Here is a 22860-nt window from a genome sequence, read left to right as displayed (position 1 = left end):
TATAAAGAGATTCTTCCACTAGCCTTGAACTTCTAATAGATTATTTGAGACTTCACTGATAATTTTTTTCAAGACATAATATGTAAGCACATAGAGGGATATCCCCAAAAGAATTGAGAAAAAATAAAATTGTGTGTTGATGTATTGATGCTTCAGTGGAATATGCATGTATATAGACAAATTTTGGCTTTAAATTTGAAACTCTTACTCCAGCTTTTCAGTTTGTCTCTCAAAGGACTAGTCTTATTCAAAACTTTAAATTATAAAAGTCAGCTCCTCCTGGGTTACATTTTTGGGTAATCGTTCTTACGGACATATGGAAAATGATTTTTTGAGTCATATAAGTCAATATCTGATAAAAATGGAGTTAGCAGAAACTTTCCAAATATTCACTTTTGGCTGAGGCTAAGCCTGGAGAGTTTAAAGCCCTAAAGGAGAATTTTGGAGAAAGTTATGAATGAATGCATACTAGTTTACAATGGAAATGCAATTGTAACCAAGCATTATAATGTGTCTAGACATTCAGGGCTTGGTTCCCAAAGTGAAGTGTTCTAGCTTTACAAGACATCCTCATGGAAAATGCTCAAGATGTTACATGGTGAGAATTCTACCAAAGACCCAAATGTGCTTCTGACACCGTTTGGAACTTGTTCCCCTTTTAGGAAGGGAAGGGTTCGTATGAATATTCAGAAAACAGTGAAGCACTAATCACTGGGCATAAGCATAGAAAAATAATGAGTAAAGAAAAATTATTTGAAGATTATTGTAGGTTTTTAAATTATTATTTTGTTTAAGGGTGTTTGACAGAAACGATTGCTATGTGCTGATTTTAGGACAACCTAGTCAATGACAAATTTAGCAGCTCATTCTTTTTCTTGACAGTTTTTGAAAGATTATATTGCAGTTCTTTTGATTCTCAGAGGTTTTAGGGTAAAATCTAAATGAAAGGACTCTTTTAAAGTTATAAGTACAAGCAACATCATAAATGAATTTCTTAAGATTTAGAAAATAAATATCTGTTTTTTAAGGATACAGCCTGTCATGGAAAGACAAAGACAAAATCAACGTTTATCCGAAAAACATTTTATTCCAATAATCAACTACTGATGAATTTTGAGGACATCTACAAGTTTTTACTTTGGAGGATTTAAATTTTCTGGCAGTCAGTTCTCTGAGGTTGCAATTATTAATAAACTCCGTGTGTGTGTGTGTGTGTGTGTGTGTGTATAAGATATCCAACCATCTAATTCTCTTCCAACACTTATTTTTATAAATGACTTTGTAAGTCCTGAAAGAAGAATTATTCTCCAGCGTTTTTAGAACCACTTCCAGCAGTGTGTCTCCAGAGTCAAATAGAGCTGTCTTCATCATTTTTACATATAGACTTCCTCAAACACTAAAAAGAATGATAATCGCCTAATTATAAATTCACTGTTAATATAGCCTTAGAGCTGAGAACATTTCACTCCAGTAGTTAATTTAGTCTGTGGTAAATTCTCACTGTTATTTAATGTCATTTATCACCTGCTGTTTTGTCTTACTGAGAACATCCTGCTTGCCCCGTCCCGTCTACAGTACATGGACCTTCTGTGACTTTAATGTACTCTGAACAAAGGCTCCAAAGTGCTTCTATCGGGAGGATTTTGGCAACTTGCCTTAGATATATTCAAGCCATTTTGCTGCCTGTCACTCACTGCTGTACAAATTGAACTCAGAGGAGAGGTAAAAAGGGTCCATCAGGCATTTTTTTTTCTGGGAAGAATATGCTAATAAAGCGCCATCAGCAGGAAGCAGGCTGTGTCTGAAAGAGTTTTGTCAACTCTGAATTAATTTTGTGTGTTAAGAAACACGGGGGTGCTTCTAGAGCCGGTCTGTGGTAATTAATCCTTCCTGTTTCTGGAAGAACAGAACTGCAATAAATGCAGCCCACATTTAACAGATGTGTGCACACAATGTCTGCTTTATGAGGAGTAAAACAAAATGATGGGTACAGAACAAAAAAATGTTGATTTAAAAAACTAAAACAGTTTGGAAAGCACAGAGCTTGGAATTCCCAGAGTTTATGCAAATATAGTATTCCTTTAAATGTTCACAGACAACGTGGTTTTGAAAACATCTGTGCATGGGGTTGGATACTGTGAAGAGACTGAAAAAGGCAGATGTTTCTTGTTCTTTAGAAAATTGAGGAAAAAAATTGCATGCAGGCATTAGGTATGATGGAGTTTGCTCTATCTAGATGTGGTGAGATTGGGCCCAAGTAATCAGTGGTGACCTCATTCTGGGATAAAACTCTTATTATCCTCTTTATTTTTTCCCCAAAAGCATTATAGGGGAAAAACTCAAATTACGTTATCTGTAACTATGAAAACAATGTTGCATGGTGATTTGAATGTTGTCCCTCTGAACAGAAGAGTTTGGCTTTCAAAATGAGGCATGCAAATTGTGCTGCTAATGCTGACATTTGATATATTCAAATACCAGTTCCACATAAAGGTGAATAAGGGCAGGTTGAAATGGTATTCATTAAAACAAATCCAAGTGGAAAAAAAGCATTTAGGGCTACCAGCTCAGTCTAGCCCATTATAGCTTTTTTTTTTTTTTCCTTCTTTCTTTTTTCCTTTTTGTTTTTTTAATTCTTTTTTATTTCATTAAGCTAACCGTGCCAAAATGGCTAGGAGGCAGGAGTTTGACACGGGTAAGTTAAAATGGAATCATGGGGAAAATGCCCAGTCAGTAGTAAGCATTTTGATAGGGTATGTTTTAAACAGGTTTTAACAAGCCTATTTCTTCTATCAGGAAGATAAAATATTTCATAAGTGTATATTTAAAGACTCAAAATCCAAATATTAGGACCTGATGTGAAGAGCATATCATAAAACTCAGCCTCCTCCCCACTGCCTATATAACCTTTCATGTAGAGCAAATACCAAAAACACTTTAACTCACTTCCAGTGAAATGTATTACTTCATGCAAAATAGCAATTCCTTTAGGTCTTGGCAAATATTAACCACCGAAAATTGGTTTTAAAAAAGTCAGCCTTGGTTAACCCTTTACATTTTATATCGATTTCATGCAATAGCCTTTCACTCCAAAGAATTTCATCTTTTATGATAGTGTTTCTGCAAGATTATTTAGTATGTTATATAAAATGTCTCTGAATAGTTCTTTCAAAATTACTTAGGGTTTATATCAAAGTCAATCATTTAACTGTTGTTCAAAATTGATGCCTTTCTATGAAATAGAAGACTGGAAAGGAATTGTGATTCTCATGGAAAGAGCAAGGCAACTGAACAAATCTGCTCATTTTAAGTATTATTTTAAAGTCTAGCTAATGAAGATATTCATGGAGAAAGTATGTTCCCTGCCATGTACTTTCTGTACAGCTTATCACAGTCTAAGATGAGACTTAAACCACCTCCAGAGTATATGCATTAACTATCTTTTTCTAGTTGGATATTAAATAATTTAAAGATAATGATGTTCCATAAGCTATGTTTAAAAATTAGATTTTGATAGCTGAAAAATAATTGGATTTAGAAGAATCCAAATTTTTTCAATAAAACTTACCTATAAAAGTAAATTTTGTATTTTTCTATAGTATCAAAATGATATGTTACCCATGAAAGTTCTTTCCTTTCATTCAAAAAGCATATTTTACAAGTCTACTTGGTATACATTTTTTAGGTACTAGATACTGTAATACAAGAAAAAAAAAAAAAAAGTCATTGCCTGCCCTTGAGGAACTTCCAGTCCACACTGTCTCCTCCAGATAGTTTGCATTTCATTTATAAAATATAGTAATTCGTGATTCAGGACGAATGAGTTGGATTTTACCAATTAAAAGGGATTGGAGTGACAGAGAATTGTCCCAAATGGAAAGGCCAGCATATGTGAAAGCCTGGAAGGTCAAGATTTCTTAAAATAATTTTACGAAGTATTTTCTCAGGTACCTAGAGTATATAGACTTCCCTTGAAACCTCACACCTTCCTCAGTACAAAGAACTCCAAACACCAAAGATAAACTCTTTTTAATCTTTTTCACACAAAATGAAGATGCTAATTCACAATGCCTGCTTTGTATCTACATGGTCCCAGATATAATGTTGGACCATGGTCTTTCAAAAGTTTTCAAGAAACTTGGAAATATGGATTAACAGCAGAAAAGAGTGAAAGCATAGTACTATGAGTTCAGGGTCATAGCAGAAAACAAATCAAAGCCTTCGGAAGAGATTCTTGGAATCTCTTCTAAGATTCCTGTTCATCTAGGGGAGAATAGGCCAAGTTTTTTCTAAGCTTTCTAAAGTCCCTCATTCATCAATGAGCTCTAATCCTCATGGCTTTAAACTTAGATGGAAAGTAATATTTCGTTTTCACAGTTGTTTTCAAATCCCAATATGAACTGAAATAATCTGAATGAGGCCAGGGCCTTACCTCTAGAAATTTCATTTTCTAAAACATTTGTATCTTGGAAAGACAGTATGCTTGAGTATGGTTAGCAAAGTCCATAGTGAATACTCAGTAAATACGTAATGATTATTATAATTATCGCTGTTATTTGAGTTAGTAGCCACTGATAGTAGTTGTGATGCAAATAGCTCTCAAGAATTACTGTCTTGGAATACAGAAAATCAAAACTATCACCCTGCAATTACCCTGGAATTAGTTTACATGTGGGGGTCGGAGAGAAATGACTACCAAAAGTGATGGTGAGAGATTTTACCTTTTATTGTTAAGCATATGTACATTAGCACTCCATCAAGCCATTTTCATGATTTCAGGGTAAACTCAGTGGCATTGCACTTCTTCGTTTTCCAAAAATGACTTGTGCTTTTTAAATGTCTGCATTATCTAAGAATACTAATTAGGTTTGTTTTATACTTACTGCACCTATAGTGTAACATGGGGATTTGAAGATAAGATGGGAGAGTGAATCCTAGTTGTGAGCAGAATTTCTAATACAACATGATCCATGTGCTGCCAAAGTTCAGAGACCACACCTTGTCTTTGTTTCACAGGTATCCACCTAGCATTGTTGTTCTCAGCATGATATTTGTCTCCTAAAATAATCATACATTTCTTAAATACAAAACACTGCACTACCTGAAAAAAAAGGACTAGCATTGATTAACATAGCAACACTACGCTCCTTGTTGTGGTTATTCTGTATTGTAACTCTTTAAATGGAATTGGGACTGATGTCATTTATGAAAGTTAGTTAACGGTAAAAAAAGTTGTCATGGAATTGACCCATCTTCAAGGACTACCTGGGACATTTTAGAATACTGAAAAACTAGGTTTTAGGTTTACATTTTCCAAAAATTCTAGAGATAAACATATTCAGATCTGTGCTAGAAGTTTTAAATATGACACAACACACAAGCATGAAGCCATGCTTACTTTTTGATCTGATTCACACATCTTTAGAGATTACACTTAACTTATAACATTTCCCTTTTTCTATATGTGCATCAGACGTGGTGCTGACTGTGACATTTAAACTGTTATGACCTAGAATATAAAGTTAAAATTGCTATTTTTTTTCAAAATGGCTGGCAGAAATCAGTTTCTAAAATCCTCCTTATACTGTCCCCGTCTTCAGTTAGTGACAATAAGCAACGGGCATGAAATTTTTAAAAGGTTTAACGATGGAGACAGAAGATGTCCCCTTCAAATTCCTATCAGCAAAAGCAACAGCAGACTCCTGCTAAGGAACGTTCTCAGATCTCACTGTGACCCTGCTGTGTGTCATGTCCTGCGAGAGATTGCACAAAACAACAGTGTAATGAAGTGTGCAGACACTTGCTCTCCTCTCTTCTCCCATCATACTAGACCCAGGATAAGATGGACAAAATGAAAAAAGAAATATTTAAGAGATTAACAAACTTGTGAGCACTTTGAAAGGGTTTGTCTGAGGAACTATCCACAATTTGATCCCATGCAGGGACAAACTTTCCATCTTACCCATCTGCCTTCCCCAGCCTCCAAACACCAAATCCAGCCCACTCTCTTTAAGATAAATCAATTTGTCAGAGCAACTGAGCACCTATGTGGTGGGATGTTCCTGATAATTAAGGTTTATAACTGCAGCTGTTTTTGTATCTTGGCTTTTAACCTTACGTTGGTGGAGAAAACCATCCTTGAAACATCTGGGTTCTTTGCTGAAACAATAGCATATTTTCTCCAGTAATCTTGTATAATTTCTGGTGAATAGTAGGGTACATTTAAACAGTTCTAATGGAGCAAACAATACTGTTTTAAAGGGCTTTGATCATTGCTTATCTTTCAGCTGATTATAGGAATCTTGTTGCAAGCGTTCAAAGGATTTTTAGTTTTGAATCTCTTTATGTCTTCAACCTAGTGATGACACTAATTTCCCTTATTGCCTGTGAAAGGAAGCCTAGTTTTGTCCTCAGACGTTTTTTGTTCCCTGTGTCATGTCTTTTGTGTATGCAGATGGGGCTGATTAATTCCAAGGCCTTTGCTACATTAAAAAATAATTTAAATAACTAGGCACAGTAAAGACTATTGAAATGTTTCTGTTTAAGGAGGAAACTACCAACAATGCAAATACACACACACACACACACACACACACACACACACACATTCTGTTTGGTGTTCATTTACAAACATCCTAGAGACTATGATTGGTGTTACAAATGGTGTTCATTTACAAATGTCCTACAGACTAAGATTTTCTAAATTAACCACTTTTTCCTTTGATAATATACTAGTCCATTTTCACGCTGCTAATAAAGACCTTCCCGAGACTGGAGAGAAAAATAGGTTTAATGGACTCACAGTTCCACATGGCTGGGGAGGCCTCAGAATCATGGTGGAAGGCGAAAGGCACTTCTTACATGGTGGCGGCAATAGAGAACGAGAAAGAAGTGAAAGCAAAACCCCCTAATAAAACCATCAAATCTCATGAGACTTACTCACTGCTGTGAGAACAGTATGGGGGAAACTGCCCCATGATTCAATTATCTCTTACTGGGTCCCTCCCACAACACTTGGGAATTACGGGAGCTACAATTCAGGATGAGATTGGGTGGGGACACAGAGCCAAACCATAGACACTAAAAACCAGCAATGTCCATTAAATAAATCTGAAATAAGTAGAAAGTGCTATAAAAGCAGGCAGATCACACCATGCACTGGGGTCCATACCTCACACAACAGGATACAGACGTATCTGGAAAATATTGCAGGTTCGGCTCCAGACCACTGCAATACAGGGAATTCAAAATCCAGCAAGTCACACAAATTTGTTGGCTTCCCAGTGCACATGAAAGTAATGTTTACATAATACTGTAGAATAGTAAGTGTGCAATAGCATTTTGTCTAAAAAAGCAATGTACATACCTTAATTTTAAGATACTGCTACAAAATGCTAATGAACATCTGAGGCTTCAACGTCACAACCTTTGTGATATTGGATAGCCTTGTTTGATGTTTATGGCCGCCGACTGATCAGGGTGGCTGTGGTGATTTCTTAAGACACCAGTGAAGTTTGCTACATCAACTGACTCTTCCTTTTACAAAAGTTTTCTCTGTACTATGTGATTTTATTTGGTAGCATTTTACTCACAGTAGAACTTTTTTTCACAATTGGAATCACTTCTTTCAAATCTTCTGGCTGTTCCATCAATGAAGTTTATGTAATATTATAAATCTTTCTTTGTCATTTCAGCAATGTTCAAAGCATCTTCAACAGGAGTAGATTCCATCTCAAGAAACCACACTTTTTATGCATTCATAAGAAGTAACTCCTCATCCTTTTGAGTTTGATCATGAGATTGCAGCAATGCAGTCACTTCTTCAGGTTCCACTTCTAATTCTAGTTCTCTTGCTATTTCCACCACATCTGCAGTTACTTCCTTCACCGAAGTCTTCAGTGCCTCAAAGTCATCCATGAGGATTGGAATCAACTCCTTCCAAACTGTTTGTGCTGATATTTTGACCTCCTCCTGTGAATCATGAATTCCTAATGACATCTAGAATGGAGAATTCATTCTAGAAGGTTTTTAGTTTTCTTTGCCCAGATCCATCAGAGGAATCACCATCTATGGCAGCTGTAGGCTTATGTAATGTATTCCTTAAATAATAAGTCTTGAAAGTTGAAATAACTCCTTGATCTATGGGCTATGGAATGGATTTTGTGTTAGCAGACATATCAATAATATGAATTTCCTTGTACATCTCCTTGAGAGATCATGGATGACCAGGTACATTGTCAACGAGCAACAATATTTTGAAAAAAAATTTCCAAGCAGTAGGTCTCAATAGTGAGTTTAACATATTTAGTAACCCTGCTGTAAACAGGTGTGCTGTCATCAGGCTTTGTTTCATTTATAGGCCATAGGTAGAATGGAGTTAACACAATTATTAGTGGCCCTAGGATTTTCAGAATGGTAAATAAGCATTGGCGTCAAACAGAAGTCAGCAACTACGTTAGCCTCAGACAAGAGAGTCAGTCTGTCCTTCAAAGCTTTGAAGCAAGGCATTGACTTCTCCTCTCTAGCTATAAAAGTCCTAAATGGCATCTTCTTCCAACATAGGACTGTTTTGTCTACATTGAAAATCTGTTGTTTAGTGTGGCCACTTTCTTCAATGGTCTTAGCTAGAAATTTTGGATAACTTGCTGCAGCGTCTACATCAACATTTCCTGCTTCACCTTGCACTTTTATGTTATGGCTTCTTTCCGTAAACATGCCTTCCACACTAAACTTAATCATTTCTGGGTTTTTGTTTCAACATAAGAGAAATGAAGTGTGACTTTTACTTTCACTCAAATACTTAAAGAGTATTTGATATTACTAATATCAAATTAGTAATATTTGATATTAATGTTATTATGTCTAATGTTCATGTTATTATGTCTCAGGGAATAGTGAAGTTCCAGGAAAGTAAGGGAGACAGGGGAATGCACAGCTCGTGGAGCAGTCAGAATACACACAACACTTATTAAGTCTGCCATCTTCTAAGGTCATGGTTCATGGTGCCCTTAAACAATTACAATAGTAACATCAAAGATCACTGTTCACGCATCGCTATAACAGATATAATAATAATGAAAAAGATTTAAAATATTGTGAGAATGACCAAAATGTGACACAGAGACAAAATGTAAAGACACTAATAGACTTGCTGGCCACAGGCTTTCCACAAATCTTCGATTTGTAAAAAAACACAGTATCTCCAAAGGAGAATAAAGCAAACTACAGTAAAAAGGAGTGTGCCTATAATTGTCTGTGAAGGAGAAATAGTCTCAAAAGAAAATGTAGCATGTGTTTGTTCCGTAATTTTTACAAAATTAAAATAAAACTCACAAAAGGTCTTAAATGCAATGGCTTTCTCTAAACATAAAAACTACTGCCTGTTACATTCAAGCAGGTTCTACAGTTGACTTTCTTCTTTTGATAAAATTATGTGTTTTCTGAAGTATTTGTTTAAAGACAATTGTATAACTAAAGTGTACACTTTAATAGGATATTTGTTTTTTGTTATTGTTATGTTTTTGTTTGTTTGTTTATGTTTGCAGTGCAGTGACACAATCTCAGCTCACTGCAACCTCTGCCTCCTGGGTTCAAGTGATTCTCCTGCCTCAGCCTCCCAAGTAGCTGGGATTACAGGTGCCCGCTACCACGCCCATCTAATGTTTGTATTTTTAATAGAGACGGGTTTTTCGCATGCTGGCCAGGCTGGTCTCAAACTCCTGACCTCACGTGATCTGCCTACCTCAGCCTCCCAAAGTGCTGGGATTACAGGCGTGAGCCACCACACCTGGCCACTTTAATAGAATATTTGATTACCTGGGTATGGCAGACACTTGTTACTTTCTGGCTGCTGCAAACTTATCCACCCTTACCTGGTAGCATCTCTTTCTTGTGGGGGAGGTCCCCATGTTGTGCAGTCTCCACAGGAAGTCAATTTCCTGCATCAGTTGCCCACTGTGGCTTCCACTATGGGGCCAAGTGTTTTAACTAATTCTGGTTGGAGAGGGAGGACAGTCACTTGACCTAAACCCTGACATTCAGATGTTCAGTACTAGGAGTTTGCTTCTTAAGCTAATGAAACAAACGCCAAACATCAAGAGACACTACAGTAATCGGAGACAATGCAGTGACAGGATTGACTACCCGTGGATCAGCCTGAAGCTTCACCTTTTTTTTCAAAGTGCATTTTGAGAGTATTTGTGCTATCCATTAGTAAAAATTACCAAAGAGGAGCATAATGGAAGCATAGAGAAATAGTAAAAATAGAAACATCCAGATAGTCTATGAACCCTAGGAAATTTACACAACAGTATTATTATTCAATATATTGTTGTCGTGTGGCACCAACGCCAGAGAAGAATTAATTGCTGAGCAACGGCCCAGACAGGAGTTCCCAAGAAGTAGGTTCAGGTCCATGAGTTGGGAACTTGCTGAGTTGCTGTGGATCTTTGCTTCTTTAAAGTGTTGTCCATGGATTGCGGGCATCATCAGTATTACCTGGGATCTTCGTAGAATCACAGAATCTTGGTCCCTAACCCAGATCTGCAGAATCAGTTACTGCGGCTTCACATGATACCCACTGGATGTGCATGTACATTCAAGTTTGAAATGATGATGTGAATCAGGCAGCAGAAATGAAATATAGTCTGTATTATCTGAACTGTGGTCCCCAAGGCTAGCCTGTGCAAGAAAAGGTGTAACTCAGTCTGAAGAGAACACTGAAATTAAAAATTAAATCTATGGAGTCGTTTTATTCTTGGCTACATAGGTGTGTTTCACATTCTTTAAAATCTCAAATCCACACGTTTTCTATGTAAGAATTATGCATCTAGAAAGGATAACGGGGGAAACATAGTATTTTTTTCCTACATGAGGAAGTTGAGACATTTCCGCTACGTTTGATCAAACCTTTCTTTTAGCACATCACTATTATTCGCTTCCTACTAACAAGAACTTCAAGCAGAGAGGCTTTTAGTGAAAATATAGAGGATGACTTCAGGGAAATTGTGGTGCTTTCAGAGGCCAGATGTCCATCGATCAAGAATGACCCCAGGAAATTGGTGAAAGTTTTTATCTTGTGGCAAAGACAAAAACCATGATTTTAAGGTTTTGAAAATGCATATGTTCTTTTTTTGTGTGAGTGCTTCAATCTGTGGGGAAAAAGTAATTTGAGAAGAGTTGGTTAAGACTTGAGCTGAATAAAATGTGATGATCTCCTGCGTTTACACTAAATTTTAAAAATCCATTAGCTAAGAACTTATAATACAAAAAGTGAACTTTTAAGAGATAATATGCTAGAAAGTTAAGATCTGCCTACATAAAGGTAAAGAAAACCCCCTTTTTTTCTGTTTTTGTTTTTTAAGAGTCTTGCTCTGTTGCCCAGGCTGGAGTGTAGTGGCACAATCTTGGACTCACTGCAACTACTCCACCTCCCGGGTTCAAGCAACTCTCCTGCTCAGCCTCCTGAGTAGCTGGGACTACAGGAATGTGCCACCACACTCAGCTAATTTTTGTATTTTTAATAGAGATGGGATTTCACCATGTTGGTCACGCTGATCTTGAATTCCTGACCTTGTGATGCACCTGCCTCGGCCTCCCAAAGTGTTAGGATTACAGGCGTGAGCCACTGCGCCCAACCGGAAAACCTATTTTAAGACAAGTCTCTTTTCCAATTCTCTTTTGCTAGATGACACTGATTTTTTTTTTAAGTTTGAAAGGAGTGCTATAGATTTATTGTATCTCAATAATTCAATTATTTACATCTGTCCAGTGTTTCATAGTTTTCAAAACACATTCATATGGAATAAAATACTCTTTAGTCTTCCTAACAACCCCATAAATCAGGTTAGCCAGGCATCATGAGTGATTCTGTTTTCTATCACAGAGAAGTAAGATCGGGTAGTTGTTTAAACTTTGACATTGGATAAACACTAAACTGTGTTTGAATATTGGCTCTGAAATTTACTCATAACTAACACTTGGTCAAATAAATTGCGTACTGAATCATCCAAAAATATTTCATTAGCATCTACCACATGCTGGCATTCCACTGAGCACTGGGCTGGATTGGAGGGTCAGATGTGGTCCTCAATGTCATGGTCCTGCATACACATGTATTTGGAGATAGGCTCACATTTTAAACAAAAACGCACCAGCCTAAAAGTGTGTATGTGTATTTTTCTCATATCATGCTACCGGAAACGTCTAGAATAGTGCTAATATAGAAGGGAAGAAAAAGTCTTTTTTCATAATCATATTTTCATAAACATATTTCCATAAACATAATTCAGGGATTTATATTTTCTCTCATTTTAATTGTATTCTTAAATATTTTGATTTAATATTTAACTTTTTAAAAATTAAAATAGTATTCTTGTAAAATACTTATTTTCTATGCCTAGTATTATATGGCATCTATTGCCTGTCAAGACAGTGGCATTAAAAATTTTTTTAAACTCATTTTGAAAGAACTCTGTACCAGAGCAGCTGTCCTAAAAATAAAAAAACAACACTCGGAGAGCCTTTGGTTTTGGTGCCCTTCTCTTGCTACGGTGTTTGCTTTTCTGCACTCCTGACTTCACTCTTTGCTGTTGGTAAGCATGGCTCCCTCCCCTGCTTCCTTATGGCTTCTGAATTGAACTCTGATTTTGCTCTGTTCTGTACCCCTCCCTTTTCTCAGATTTTCATTGACATGTGAAGATCATTCTCTCCTTCCAGAGTTTATTTTACATGAGGACAAAAAAAATGCTTTTAACTTGATATTGACTTTATGGGTCTACCACATATAATTTGTTATATGTTGACAGGATTTCTAGGTGATTCATGGGGCATCTGTGATTCTCCCTCTGTCTGGTTTGGAGAATGTGGTAGGATTTATATGCTACACAGTTTACTTGACTGTGTAGCATATAAATGCTGTACTTGACTTGAATATGTCACAGTGTACATTATTTTAAAGACTGCATTAGAACAAAATCAGCTGGTACTCCTTAGCTAAATCTCCTGGTGGCAGTTTAAAATTTTACTTGATAATCTGCTTTGAAACCAGAAATGTGTAAAAGAAGGAGTCACTAACTTCCTAGTTACTCTTAAGTATATATAGAGGGACATTGGACAAAGTTTATATTTTCTGCAAAGCACTTAAATATATATGTATTAGAAAGGAATGGTTACAGTTTAATATAAGGGTTGGAAAACTTTTTATGAAAAGGGCAAATAGTAAATAATTTAGAATTAATTGGTTGTACATTTCTGTTGCAACTATCCCACACTGTCATCATAGCACAAAAGAAGCCACAGGTCCTACATAAACGGGCATGTCTATGCTCCAGCCACATTGTATTTACAAATAGGCAGTGGGCAGAGCTTGGCCCATAGGTTCTATTCATAGTTTGTGAACACCTGGTTTAGTATATTATAAATACATCCCAAGAGCATCTCTTATGTTTTTTGGAACCCTCTGGATGGGGAAGGCATAAACAAATTTCCTCAGTGGGGGTTTCATGTAAGTATTCACACTCTCCCAGCTGCTATGAGTTGTCTATTTAAAACCTAGCCATGAGCCTTGTATGACCTGTGATTTTACAGTGATTCTGAACCATTTTTCCTCCTCCAGAAGGAGGTATGTACAGGTGCTCCGCAGTCACATTAGTGTCATGTCTCAGCGGTGAGGAAGAGACACACAGGCACCAAAGAGTGGCATGCAATCATACTAAAGCAATCTCAGCAAAATGGTCATTTGTCTATTTTTGTTTTCTTTTGTCTCGTCTTCCTTTTTATTTATTTATTTATTTATTTATTTATTTTTGAGACAGGGCCTTGCTCTGTCACCCAAGCTGTAGTGCAGTGGTGTGATCACGTCTCACTGCAGCCTCAACCACCTGGACTCCAGAGATCCATGCCAACCTCCTGAGTAGCTAGGACTACAGGTGCATGCCACCATACCCAGCTAATTTTAAAGTTTTTTTTAGAGACAAAGTCTCACTATATGGCCTAGGCTGGTCTCAAACTCCTGGGCTCAAGTGATCCTCTGTTTTGATCTCTCAAAGTGTTGGGATTACAGGCACTCAGCCAGTCCATTTTTAATTATATATGGGACTACTTGCTTTTATTTATCTTGTAGCTTGTTTTTCATTGTATTTATATGAATCTAACAGCTACAAAACTACTTCAACTTTTATTTTCTTTTCAATACCTTTCATTTAACTAAGATTTAACACGAAAGAAATTGCTCACTTCTATTTGCTTGGGACCAACACATGAGACTCTTAAACAAGGGGCAGAGCCCTAAGTTAAATAATGGGCATTTAGTTTTGATGTGCATTGGTTCAGGGTCCTAAGTCACCTAAGTTTTGTAGATAGTTTCTTTACTCCACCAAAGGTTAGGACAACTTGGACGCTCTGCTTCCTTTGTCTCTACCCATCCCCTTACATCAGTGGCCTGGCCATCCTCTTCTCATGGTAATGGACAGACACTCAGAAACGCATGTATGCACACATGATATGGGTGAAACTACCCAGTTTCTCTGTAAACTGAAAAAGTACAGTGAGAAAAGGAGAAGTCCAAAAGAAAAACCAGAACGGCACCTATAATACAAAAGCTCTCAGACGATATAATTGTAAGAAAAACAGACATGATAATTAAGAATGTGGAATGAACCTGTTAACCTCGCCATACCTGGGTGCCACTGAAAATATGTTGTGTACTCCCCAGAGCTTCTCAAAACTGATCCAAACACTTAAATAGTATGGATTTTATTTTAGTAATTGACAATAATAATCTTAGAAATTTTGCACTGGTGATTAATGTAGATACAGCATGGCCATAGACTCTTGAAATCTGTATTGTATTTTTTTTTCTGTTTATTTACAGTTTGATTTTGTAGACTAGAATCTCTTTGCTTACATCTACTAAAATATGCCAAAAGCACACATTTATGCACTGAATATCAGAGAGAAAAATTATCTGAAGCAACACACCAGATACATTTTCAGGTATTAATAGAAATGTTCTATTAGTGTACCATGTTCATTAAAGTTTTGCACAGAACATCAAACTATGCATTTTCTAATGAGATAACATACTGAATGAATCATATATTACAATATAAATGACCATTCACTAAGTTAATTTATTTTACTCTAGACTTTATGACCTCCTTGCAAAACTTTAAAGAGGGATTTGTCAATATTCACCATACTGATATTTTAAATAGTTAAAAATGGCTCATGAATGAACATGATTAAACTATCAGACAGAAATAGTAAATGATATTATAGCTTGAATGTCAAACTATAGCTCATGATATTTTCAGTTATTCACTTTGTGAAGGATAATTTCTATTCTGACCTAATTCTTTTATTATTTAATATATAGTTTAATCATATAAATTATGTAATATTAATAATATGTATAGCCTACATATGTCTTTTTTGTCTTGATTTTTAAAATAATATAAAATTATATTATCTTTAACGAAGAATAAACATTTTGTTATAATTCAAAAATCTGGTTCTTGTTTTTTAAAATATGTATTTTCATAAAGTTATTAAGTGGAAAAGGCTGGTGCAAAAATCAAGATTGCAAAGTATTTTAGCTTTTTGACATTAAAAATGTTATTTTATTAGTAAATAATTTTCCTTTGCAGTCATTACTATTATTTTGTGTATCCTTGATAGCTTCCATTGGTTTCTTCTCTAATTTGCGTGGTATTTCTTCTTAAATTTTACGTGGACATAGTTGTATTCAAATATAGATATACTGTTGTTTTAAGTGGTATATGTAAAGTACAAGTTTATAGATTTCTTTTATTTAAAAATATACTTGAAATGTTCTAACATTAATGCTTTTTATTTGCTTTAAAGGGCTTACTAACTCTTAGATAAATTGTTCTCGTTGTAAAAATGAATTGCCATATACTGTATTTTTGATGCAAAAAATACAATCAGAATGCCAAAATACGCATTTTTTGTTTTGTATGAAAAGTAATTGATATATCTTTTCTAGTATAATCATTTTGTTTAAGAATGGTTCTTGAATAATTATCTCTAGCACAGAACTTTGTTCTTCACTTAGATTTATGTTTCCAACTGACTAGATATCTGTGCGGTATGGCTCAGCAAAATCTCCATTCTTAATACAATGAAATAAAACCCTTGACCTTCCTATCCCTCACGAGCTTGTCCTTCTAGGACTCTCTGACTTTGTCGTTGGCACATTTATTTGCTTTTAATTTATTTTTTTATTTTTTTATGTTTTTAACTTGTTTTTGCCAGAAAACTGGGAGGAGTTCTTGACCTTCTCTTTCTCACACCTCCAATTATAGTAATAGCCCAGCTGTTCTCTTGTGCCTGCTTCTTCTCTTCGTCCTTTTCAATCCAGGCTCTGTGTAACAGTCCAAATAGAGAAAATGTACATTTGTCATGTCACTTGTTTGTGTAAGACTCCTCAGTGACATCTGTTATACTTAGGATAAAAATCCAAGGACCTTACTGTTCAGGAAGACACTCTGAACTCAGTCCTCTGCTGAATGGACAGCCCCATCTCTCCCTCCAGCGCATCCCTGCTCACATACGATGCTAAATCCATATTGAATTTGCTTTAGCTCCCTAGGGGACTGAACCCTTTTCATAACTGTGGTCTTCCTAAATGCCTGGAATGGTTTTCCCACCTCCTTGACTGGCTAACTTTATTCTTGAAACTAAAGGTTAAATTTACCTTCAGGAAAAGGCTTCCATTAGAGCTTAATTCAAATCAGGTCAGACTCTCGTTTCTGTAGCTGCACTTCTCATCTGCAACTGCATGTTAATTGCCGCACCACATGTTGAGTATCTATCTCCGCCATGAGATCGAGGGTCAGTGAGGACAAGAGACCTGGGCTCCTGATTGGCTGTTACAGCCCTGGTATGTAAGATCATCATATGCATAGGTAAAATAAAAATTTAGTGAGTGAATGTGTAAATTGGCTTTTTAAACAGCTACATCGATTAGTGTCCTTTGAATATTTGTTTTTCTGGACAGTCATTTCTGTCCATTGACTGCTAGAGATTGGATCTGACCACAACCACACGGTACACATATTCACACGCAGCTGGAATTAATTATTTTCTTTGGACTTGTACTTGATGCCTTGGATTTTTTTTCTTCCAGATTCAAAACAAGTAAAAGAATAACCCCTTGACATCATATTGGATTTCCAGTCTAGCTAGGTAAGGTCACTGCCACAGTGAAAAGCAGTGAGGTTCCAGAGGCAAGGCGGTGGGAGCAATACAACCCAGAGACTTCAGAGAATTTAGAAGCAGTAATTGTCTGTAGAAAATTTCAAGCTAGTGATAAAACCAACTAAAAGTTGATCCGCTTTTTATTATTACCATTGCCTGGCAATTTTAAACAGTGCCAATGATTTAAATACTCCTCTAGGGGAAGGGAGAGAACTTTTGGTTTCAGTTCTAAACTTACTATAATCAGAGTTGAGTTTTTATACTACAAGTGTATCCTTTAAATTAGAAGAATTACTCATTATGCTTTAATAAAACCTGTTTCTTACTTGAAAATTAATTTAGAGAATTCACTATTGCGTAGTTCCTGTCTCGACGGGACTCAGCTATGTGCTTGTGTTTTAGGAGAGTAGTTCATAATAGTTTGAAATTGGGCACAGTTGAAGTCTCCAAATAGCACTACGGATTTCTACATTTATATGATATATTTGAAATAAACAATGCTAGCACAATGACTATAATGGCTAAAAAAATAGGACTTGAGTTGCTTCAGTTCTTCTATTCTATGCAACCACTCAGTTTTTATATGTGTTTTTAAAGCTTATGGTGAAACAGAATGCATAATGCAAGGTACTTTCTAAAATATTTTTGTTTGGAAAGTACAAAATTTTATTATTTTTATTTTTATTTTACTTTAAGTTCTGGGATACATGTGCAGGATTGTTATAGAGGTATACATATGCATGGTGGTTTGCTTTACGTATCAACCCGTCATCTATGTTTTAAGCCCCGCATTCATTAGGTATTTCTCCTAATGCTCTCCCTCCCGTTGCCTCCCATCCCCTAACAGGCCACAGTGCGTGATATTCCCCTCCCTGTGTCCATGTGTCCTCATTGTTCTACTCTCACTTATGAGTGAGAGCATGCGGTGTTTGGTTTTCTGTTTCTGTGTTAGTTTGCTGAGGACGATGGGTTCCAGCTTCACCCATGTCCTTGAAAGGACATGATCTCATTCTTTTTTATGGTTGCATAGTATTCCATGGTGCACATGTTGGAAAGTACAAATTTTAGTTCATGCCTGAAATATTTTCATAAAATTGGGTATCTTGTGCAGCGAAATGTTTCCTTTTTAAATTATTATTATTTCATTTTGAAACTAAAGAATCAGTTAAGAAAATGAAAGGCTTCATTCATCATGTGATTTAGCAGCTGTCAAAATTGTACCCTTTGCTGATGTCTTAGTTTTATTTAAATCCATTTACTAGTTACGGGGTAATTATTTGCCCAAGAGTATTACGTATTATTACTTTATCCAAATAATCAAACTTCAACCTATTAGGAAGATAAAAAAACTATTAAAATAATAGCTGTGGCTTTTTTCCCTTTTTTGTACTATAATTAAATAAAATACATTTGCTATTTTTAATGTATAATTAATAACATCTATATGGAATATTATAAAAAAACACTTACTGTATTTCTTTGATGACCATTATTTTATAATATAAATTACGTCTTGATGACTACTGAAATTATGAGATATTGAGCAAGAGGTGTTAAGGAGTGATCTACGTTGGTGTCAAATATGCTGGGTATGTCACTAGTTCCCTGTTAATTAAGTATTTACTGGATATGGCAGACAAAATATTGTATGTTCATAAAATGTTTCCAGGTTCTTCCTATGTCCATAGGAATACTCCCTTTCCCAGGCCCTGTACATCTCCAGGGGCTGCGTGGCTAGTTGCAGTCATAAAGCTTGGGGAGAAGCGAGGTCATCACTTCCAAGCTTCTTCCCTTCATCCTCTTTTTGTTTGCAGCTGGGTAAATACAGAGGACCTGTGAGAGGACACCACAATGCCCTTGAGAGTCAGTGAAGATGATGTGCAGCTGATCTCCTGCCAGCCTAAGATACCCTTGGAGCCTAAGTGAGAAACAAATCTTCACTGGGTGAAGCCACTGAAATGTAAGGGTTGATGTGTTACTGAAGCTTAGCTTGCCTGACCTGACCAATATATCTACCTCTAAATAAACAAGGCACATGGGGAATGAGGGAACAAGAGCGGTAAGTGTGGACTTTAAGAACAGTTCCGTGCTGAAGTGGGATTTGCTATGAGCTTGGAGGAAGGAGTGGCAGTCAACCGACTCTTGAACATTCTCAATACATGCCTCACACTTTCATACCATCAAGCATGACTCAGATTTTTCCTGAATACTGACATGACTTTTCCTATACTTAAATATGAATGCCCAGAAGTTAAATAATACCTTCTTAGAAAGCCTTTCCTGAACTCATACTCATACTTTTTAGTCTGGACTCCTGTGTCACCTTCATCTTTATGAAACTTATTTTATGTGTTTTTAATGGTTGGCTGTTTACACTATTGTCTCCCTATCTAGCTTTTGATTTCCTTAAGGTTAAAGATCATATCTTTGTATCTATGTCCCACAGCACTTAAGAAAACATTTGTACATGACCATTTCATCATTTATTTACAAACACAAATGTGTATTACCTATGAGTCACAGCCCGTAATGGGTCTGAGGATCAATACATGTGTGTCTAATTGAATTAAGATTTGTTAGGGAGAGATAGAAAGCCATCCTGGGCTGATGAAAGCTTTTTGAATAAAGGAGGACTTTGCACAAGGACATGCTTTTCCAGGAAGTTCAAGTCCACTTGGCGTTGTAGTGGAAAGTCAATATAGAGAGACCAGGTTGGTGGAAAGTCTTGGGTGCCAAGCTAAGTGGAAAAGACTTGAGTTCTTGAAGAGAAATCAACTAAGTTCAATAGTCTAAATTTTGGCCACAGAAAACCTATAGCAATTAAACACATAAAGCAAGTAATTTGATTCTACTTTATTGTAGAGTACGTGAAAAATGTATGGTGTCTTATCTCAAATCATTACTCAATGTCAGGGCAGAAGTACAATTGATCAAGCCTATAGTCAGCTGCTAATTCACGAGTTTTTTTGTTTTTGTTTTTCCTGTGACTTCCTAGCTTTCCAGACTGGGCAAAATGATATCTGCAGACATTAAAGAATACTGGAATTAAAAACACATTAATTTTCCATCCATTAGGGTGATGTGTGCCCCACAGGTGGACTATAAGGAATTCCCTGGCTTGGTGCCTGATTGCTTTGCATAGCTGGGGATTCCACTTAACACCCTGCCATGACCCTCTGCTGGTATGCTTGGCTGCCTTAATCTTGGTATATTTCATGTTGAATGGCCGTGGCAGTCCAAGTTGCTCCGTAGGAAATATAATATGTGCACTGTAGAAAGCTATGTCAGTTTTGCTGGTACTGAGTGGCTTCAAATTCAAACCTAGCTGTTGTAAAAACAACAACTAACAGACAACTGTGATTTTAATTGAACATGCTAATATCATGGCCATTTTGAAACAATGGTCAAGTGTAAATATTTTGAAGAAAAGGGTTTCTTAAGGTAATGTGAGTAGTTTCAAAGCATAAATAATATGGCATGTAATTTGTATGCAAATATATAACAGCATGTATCTTTACAAAATTAAAATATTTAAGAAGAACCTTTATTTATGTCCATAGGAATTTCATTGAGAAAATAGATCATGATGCTTTAAAATAATTATTTATCTATCTATAGCACAAACAAAATATAAAATTTCATGTGGTGATGCTAATAAAATCTGGTTCTTCAATCCTCACCAAACTTGTTTCCTTGAGGCAAAATGAAGCTTCTGCTTGCAATGTTCTGCCTAACTTACAGGTAAATTCTGGGATTGAATAATTTTGTAGAAATATAAAATACATACATTAAGGGTTTCTGTTTTCCACTAGAAAGTACTATATAAATGGGTAAGCAAGTGACTACGTCATGCCACACTAGTGTTTAAGTCTCTGAGATCAGGAACTATATACTCAATTCAGGGCATTCTGTTTTGTAACAAGTATTATTATTAACTTGAATTTAGTTAAGTATGTCCTTTTTTCTAAAGAATTCAAAGCATTTACTATTGTATTTATTAACATAATACTCTTTCGAAATAAACCAAGAGATTTACTGTATATCATAGCTGCTAAAATTTAACCCAACCAAGTGAATATGGCTTGCCCACATCAAGAGTTATAGGACAAATAACATCATACTCCTTTTCTTCACTACAATAGACCCCTAGGAAGGCTGTGAGTTTTATAGCATAATTTGCATGTGGAATTTGCATTTTGCCACATGCCATATGCGTTTCTTATCTTCGTATGTGTTAAGACCTTCTATGTTACAACATGTCTTTCAGCTACTCTCTTTTGAAACCCAATGGATTATTACCTGTAGAAATTCCAGAATCATCAGCTCTCTGTCTACATTTCTGTATTATTCTTTAAGCAACAGCAACATTCAGCCTAGTTGTCCCTACAAGCTTGAAAGCCAAATAACTCTTTCTACTGAGAACCTTAGGACACCCTTTAGAGACATGTTGTACTTTATAGACATAAGCCTGTGGCTTCTTGGAGGCTCTTCCACAAAAGTCAGTTGTTTGGTTTTGAGGGGACACATGATACAGGGACTGAAAGGACATCACTCCATTTCTTACATCATTAACCCAAATTCCTCCCACAGAAGCACACAAGACCTTGACATCCTGGCTTTTCAGGCAGTGGGGGGACCAAAACATTTGATTTCATTCAGCTTATCTATCTATCTATCTTCTATAAAATTATAGGATGAAAGTGAAATGATTGGATGTGTTTTTCTATGGATTCAACATCCTCTCGAGAAAATGTCGTCAGTTGGTCCTCTTTGCTAAATGTCAGTAGTAAAGCTTACATTTATTGCTGTCAAAGTATGCAGTCATACATAAGCAGGAAGTGGGTAATACCACCAGCTGGCTGTGAGTACCTACATTTTAAAACCAGGAATACTGTACTTATCAAGGCAGTCCTGCTTCTTTGGTGAAGATGAGACACCCAAATGTCAGTTAAAGTCTTGACACTAGAATTCCTTAACTTCAAATCTCAGTCCCACAGTGATCCCAACTGTATTGTTCTCTTTTATTAATCTTGACCTGAGTTCTGCCTTTCACATTAGCTCACTTATACTTTTATTTCTCTTCTTTGAGTAGCTGGCCCCTTGCCATACCTCTCCAAATTAGTTCTCGACTTGGTTTTAGTATTCTACGCTTGGCTACCCTGCTTCATTCCTGACCAGTCACATTTGATCTGTTTCTCTTGGCATCAGTTCCAGTGAGAAAAAAATAAAATAAAATAGAGAGGCATTTCTCCATTAAGAAAATAAGATTTACAAAGAAGAGTTTAGCAATTTATGTAAAGGAAGTTTATGTTATTATCTAAGATTAGTTGTGGTGAGGGTTGAGAGAAAACTTTTCTAAAATTTTGCTCAAGGTGTCAAATATTTCTATCTTGGGAGGCACTAAAAACTGAATTTAAGGTTTTCTGATTCCAGAGCCTTACCTATTTATTGGTAATATGCATAACTATATATATATCCAATTGCTTATTTCAAAAATCCTTATTGAGCACCTTAGATATGCAAGGCACTGTGGACAAAACTTAAATGCAATGATCTTACCCTTGGATTGGATTTCTTTTTGTCAGAGGATATCATGCCATATGAAAGGCCTTAAAATGTAAAGAAGAAATAACCTTTTAT

The 22860-nt window shown here is 36.1% G+C and overlaps 2 annotated features.

Moving 5' to 3' along the window:
- Positions 1105 to 2434: an enhancer, noted in NCBI's record as "VISTA enhancer hs759". NCBI's record gives its function as "enhancer in: neural tube[10/14] | hindbrain (rhombencephalon)[10/14]" and the evidence as "EXISTENCE:transgenic organism evidence [ECO:0001131][PMID:17130149]".
- Positions 18702 to 19901: an enhancer, noted in NCBI's record as "CDK7 strongly-dependent group 2 enhancer chr13:105998132-105999331 (GRCh37/hg19 assembly coordinates)". NCBI's record gives its function as "activates an origin of replication core promoter dependent on BRD2, BRD4, P300/CBP, MED14 and CDK7 cofactors, with strong dependence on CDK7, by STARR-seq in HCT116 cells {active_cell/tissue: HCT116}" and the evidence as "EXISTENCE:reporter gene assay evidence [ECO:0000049][PMID:35650434]".

Source organism: Homo sapiens, chromosome 13, assembly GCF_000001405.40.
Source record: "Homo sapiens chromosome 13, GRCh38.p14 Primary Assembly".
Taxonomy (NCBI): Eukaryota; Metazoa; Chordata; class Mammalia; order Primates; family Hominidae; genus Homo; species Homo sapiens.
This window is presented reverse-complemented; position numbering and strand designations above follow the sequence as displayed.